Source organism: Homo sapiens, chromosome 13, assembly GCF_000001405.40.
Source record: "Homo sapiens chromosome 13, GRCh38.p14 Primary Assembly".
Classification (NCBI taxonomy): domain Eukaryota; kingdom Metazoa; phylum Chordata; class Mammalia; order Primates; family Hominidae; genus Homo; species Homo sapiens.
In genome coordinates this window covers 28,554,085-28,560,113 of record NC_000013.11, presented here as the reverse complement: position 1 = coordinate 28,560,113, position 6,029 = coordinate 28,554,085, and positions in this window count along the sequence as shown.

The window sequence follows — 6,029 nt, the reverse complement described above, 5'->3', positions numbered from 1 at the left end:
AAAAGATACTCCATATCATCAATCAGGGAAACATAAATCAAACCACAATAAGGTGCCACTTCACAACAGATGGGTGGATGAACACAATATGGGCTGGGCTATCCCTACAATGCAATGTCATTCTGCTGTGAAAGAAAGACAGCCCCGACACTGACACACGCAGATGGATCTTGAAGATGTTATGCTAAGTGAAACAAACCAGACGCCAAAGGACAAATATTGTACCATTCCACTTATGTGAGGAAGCTAGAGTAGTCAAGTTCATAGAGACAGAAGGTCTCTATGAAGGTAGAGCGGTGGTGGCCAGGGGCTGGGGGAGGCAAGAATGGGGAATGACTGCTCAATGAATGCAGTTTAAGTTTTGCAAGATTAAAAATTTATGGAGATGGATGGTAGTGATGGTTGCATGAGTATATAAAGGTGCGTAATGCCACTGAATTGCACACTTGAAAATAATTAGAACAGCCGGGCACAGTGACTCACGCCTGTAATCCCAGCACTTTGGGAGGCTAAGGTGGGTGGGTCACTTGAGGTCAGGAGTTCGAGACCAGCCTGGCCAACATGGTGAAACCCTGTCTCTATTAAAAATATAAACATTAGCCAGGTGTGGTGGCAGGCGCCTATAACCCCAGCTACTTGGGAGGCTGAGGCAGGAGAATCACTTGAACCCAGGAGGTGGAGGTTGCAGAGAGCTGAGATCGCGCCATTGCGCTCCAGCCTGGGCAACAAAGTGAAACTCTTGTTTCCCAGAAAAAAAAGAAGAAAATAATTAAAATGGCAAATTTTGTGTTACATTTCTTTTATCACAATTTTGTAAAAAGAAAAATATATATGTATATACACATACTTATAGGCATATATATACATATATACATATGTAAAACACATAACACATACCTAGGTGTGTGTACATATGTAAACATATATACACACATACATAGGTGTGTATATATGCATATATTATATATAATGAGATTTGTAATATTCTAAGATTATGTCCTCTCTGCTATTTTGATATTGAAATGTCCTTTTTTCATGAAATAATCATGATAGTAGATGGTAATTGTTGTTTTTAATGTCTTGATAAACCAAAATATATATTGGCCTCCCAAGCCCTTTTCGGAAAGGTTGCTGGTCTGTGACACCAAAGGCCTGGGAAGCACTTGGTTGCTGGCCTGGAGTCTCCGGGAGTCTCCCAGCCATGACGTTGTTCAGTTGAGGACGGTGGTTCTCAACCTTGGCTGCACACAGGCGTCAGCCGTGGAGTTTTTAAAAGACTGACACCTTGGCCCAACTCCAGGGATTCTAATGTCATGGGTCTGGGTGTCAGGACTTTAAAAGCTGGCCAAGGAGAAATAGGTGAGTGAGCTGGGGCAAGGAGCCAGACGGTGGCCATGTTTTTACTTTTTCGGGTTCTCCTAATCAAGTGCAAACTCGTCTTTCTTTGTTACTCCCAGAGTGGAAAATGGACCAAAGAAAAACAAACAGGAGTGGGAAAGGTCAGACAATGGAAAGAGAGAGCAGCAAAACATTTGTTTTAGAATGAATTCGCTTTTGGAAATGTATCTTTTCGACCGCCTTTTGTCTTTATACCACTTAGGCTTTGGAACTCCTTGACTCCTAATTAATTCTGTTTGAGAAAATCTCATTCTTTTCCTTATTTCATTTGTAAATAACTTTCCACAGGAACAGTAAAACAACACGAGGAGAAAATCTCTCAAAACATGCCAAAGAGCCTTTGGTATTTCTCTTCATGCCGTGATTATGACATCACCCAAAGTGTTTGGTCATCCAGAAATGTACTTCCTCTTGGCTTTTAGAATTCCTTGCATATTAAGATACGTTTCTAATTATATTCAAATAGAAACCAGATGTTTTGAACACTGTACTTTAAAATCTCTTCCTGAGTTTTATTTAGAATATTTTAGGAGAGGGTGGCATTCAGCTCACTCTTTCTCTACTTTTTCTGTGTATTCCCAAAGATTTCATATTCTCAAATATTTTTCCTGGGAATTTAGAAATCTGACTCCAAGAGAAAATTGTGTATACCAACTGACCTTTCACAAGGCTCAACTCTGAGTACTAAGAAAAGGAAAGGGTTAATTTTGTGGGTAGTGGTATTTCTGGAGTTTTCTGTAACATCCTTAGAATTAGAAAATAGCTTCCTAGTTGATTACCCTCTTGTCTCTGTCAAATCTTGGCTTTCACCTTTCTTATAAATGGAACAAGCCTTCTTTGTGCTGTATCTTGCCTCAAGCACGCTTGCTACTCATATAATAGGGAACTGCAAAATAATACGGGAACAATTAGCCTTTTAAATTTGTTTTGTTTTGTTTTGTTTTTTTGAGAGAGTCTCTCTCTGTCACCCAGGCTGGAGTGCAGTGGTGTGAGCAGAGCTCACTGCAACCTGGAATTCCTGGGCTCAAGCTATCATCCTGCCTCAGCCTCCTAAATAGCTTGGGCTGCAGGCATATATCACCACACCTGCCTAAGTTTTTAAATTTTTATAGAGCCAGGGGTCTCCCTATGTTGCCCAGTGTGGTTTTGAACTCTTGGCCTCAAGCAATCCTCTCACTTCGGCTTCCCAAAATGCTAGGATTATTATGGCGAGAGCCACCATATCTGGACCGATTACCCTTAACTTGGAACATAAATTTTCTTTTCCTCCTGGGATCTTGCCAGTAGGAAGGAAACACTACAAGTTCAAGACTACATATTAGCCTAGATTTGTTTAAGTCTTTACTGTGTCATGAACTATACTGAGTGTGAGCTTTTCACTCTCCACAGGGGCAGTTGCTGGGGTCTGGGTGTGAAGGGGTGTCCACCTAAGGTAGGACCAATAGAAACAAAGGTTTCCTGTGTTTTCAAAGGTCAAGACCACCGTCTTCTTTCTTACCCCCAACTAAGGTTGCTGAAAAGAAGTGGTCTGGGCCTGGGAAGGGACAGGAGACTGACTTCTGCCAGCCCAGTTCACCTGCCCAGAGGTGGCTTCACAGGAGGCAGGTCTGGAGAAGACACCTTTAGTTTGGTCTTTTTCCTTTACTTATGCGAGCCTTGTGCATAGCAAGGTACAGGAGACTTGAGACCATCGGCCTCTCTGGCTGGTGCGCAGGGTGAAATGAAATGTTTAAGTCTTACACTTCTTTTCTCATAAAATACGTCAGTTCAAAGGAAAAGGTCAGTCCCCAGTGGCATCTTCTGCCCACCTCATTCTTCCCTTCCCCTCTTGCTATAACTGGGATATCCCCTCCCTCTATAGGTTTTCTGCCTCTTCTAGGCCCAGCGAACTCACACTCCGCCCTTGAGACCCGGGTCAAACAGCACCTCTTCCCTGCAGCCTTCCCAGCTCCCACACTCAGCTAGCTGTTGCCACCTCCACGTCCCCACACCATTTGTACACACCTTTCTTTATATTTCATTTTCTTGTAGTTATTTTTAATTTAATTTAATTTAATTTAATTTAATTTAATTTTATTTTATTTTATTTTATTTTATTGAGACTGAGTTTCGCTCTATTGCCGAGGCTGGAGTGCAGTGGTGAGATCTCAGCTCACTGCAACTTCTATCTCCTGGGTTCAAGCAATTCTCCTGCCTCGCCTCCCAAGTAGCTGGCACGCCTGGCTAAATTTTGTATTTTTAGTAGAGATGGGGTTTCACCATGTTGGCCAGGCTGGTCTCAAACTCCTGACATCAAGTGATCTGCCCGCTTTGGCCTCCCAAAGTGCTGGGATTATAGGCATGAGCCACTGCACCCTGTCTTTGTAGTGTAATTTTTGGTTCATGGCTGTGAACCTCACTAGGCTGTGGACCCTCAAGTATGAGGAGAGAGCCTTTTCTTTGTGTCTCCTGGGCCAAGTGCAGTGGATTGACTCCTGGGAAAGGCTTGGTGTGGTGGAGTCACAACATATATTTGCTCAGGGAGGTGAGAGAGAGAGGGATGGTAAGGAGAGACAGAATCCTGGTGATTCTGCCTCTCCCTGTGTGACCTCCTGAGGTGAGAAAGAGAGGAGAAACCCAAGGCTGCTGGCTGGCACCTGCTGTGGCCCTCAGTGGTGTGAGTGACTGTATCTCATAGATCCCAAACACAAGTTAGCTACCGCATCTGGTGTCAAGACCAGCCTGGGCAACATAGTAAGACCCCCCCACAATCAAATCTCTAAAAAAAATTTTTTTTTTAATTAGCCAGGTATGGTGTCGCATAACCTGTATTCCCAGCTACTCGGGAGGCTGAGGTGGGAGGATCACTTGAGCCCAGAAGTTCAAGGCTGTAGTGAGCTATGATCATGCCACTGCACTCCAGTCTGGGTGACAGAGCATGATCCTGCCCCTTAAAAAAATGGTGTAAATATTTGTAATAATATAAAAATTTGTAACATTTGTACAAAATTTCTTTTCTCCTCTGCTTTATTAGGACACAGTCAACCCCTCCAATCCCAGAGGTAAAGTGGCTCTTAGACTAAGAGAAAATAGAGTACTATAATTTATAGGCAACTTAAGAGTTTCTATTATATCAGTTTGGTCGTATATGCTCATTTGGGAACTCAAGCCCCCTGCAAACAGTTAGGAATGAAAGCCTCATTCCCTTTATAGTTGCCATGAGCTGGCGGAAGGTAGGCGCAGGGGGACGGACTACAGAAACATTACTGCCCTCTTTCTCTAGAGGGAAAACAACAGAAAATACAACAATGTTCTAGAGACATGGTTTATCTGAAACACAGAACTCTGGACCATAAGGTATTTTATCAGATGTGAGAGAGAGTGACGCTCATTAAAGTAATCAGAACACACCTGACCACTTCAATCTTCAATCTTAAAGCAACTTCTGTTCTATGGACTGAGCGATGAGTTAGAATAACCAGCTGCTCTTAGCAGGTTTACGACATGCCTCTGAGATCAACCGCTTCCAGCTTCCGAAACACACTAATGTAAGAATGTTAGGGATGGTGCCGGGCCATTTCCTCTCAAATAAGGACTTCACCAAAATATCTCTATACAAACAAACATGTTTCCTTGGACACAGTTTTCTTTCCTTCATTTGTTCTTCCATTCAACCGAAGTGTGCTGAACACCTAATATATATCCCTTGCTTAACCTTGCGTATACAGGTGTAAACAAGTCTAATGTAGTTCCTGATCTCAGAGCTCATAGCCTGGAGGGGAGACCTGCCTTAAACAGGTGATTAAATACTACTTGGAGAAGGACCGGGTGTTATACAAGAATCACACTGAACCTACTTTCTCTCACTGAGCCTCAGTTTCTTTTACATTATTTATATTTTATACTGTTTGTATATTTACCTTGCAGAGTTTTTCTGTAAAGCTTAGGAAATGTAAGATGTCTAATAACTGCCAATCAATTGTACTATTGTTTGAGTCAACTTAAAACTTCTGTGAGCTAGTCACAGATGGAAAGACTAAGAAAATAGTGTAACTACTTGGGAAGGCGAGGCAGGAAGATCACTTCAGGCCAGGAGTTTGAGACTAACCTGGGTAACATAGTGAGACCACCCACCCACCCCAATCTCTAAAAAAATTTTTTAAAAATTAGCCAGGCACGATGTCATGTACCTGTATTCCCAGCTACTTGGGAGGCTGAGGTCAGAGAATCACTTGAGCCCAGAAATTAAAGGCTGTAATGAGCTATGATCATGCCACTGCACACCAGTCAGGGTGACAGAGCGTGATCCTGTCCCTTAAAAAAAATAGTGTAAATATTTGTAATAATATAAAAATTCATAACATTTGTACAAACTTTCTTTTCTCCTCTGCTTTATTAGGTAATTGGAACCAGCCAGTGGAAAATTATCTGTAAAGACTTCATTTTCTGTTCCCATGCTGCAGGTGTAATGACATTCTGCCACTAATGAATGTGTGAGGCATTCATCCTGTGACCAGAATGAAGGCTCCTGACTCCATCTGGCCACCTTTCACGGTGCTGCATGGGCACACTGCCTTTTGGGTAATCAAGCTGAGAAGGAAGGAGCTGCCTCCAGGTCAAGATGGTGCCGGCTGTTTTAGAGGACGATATTA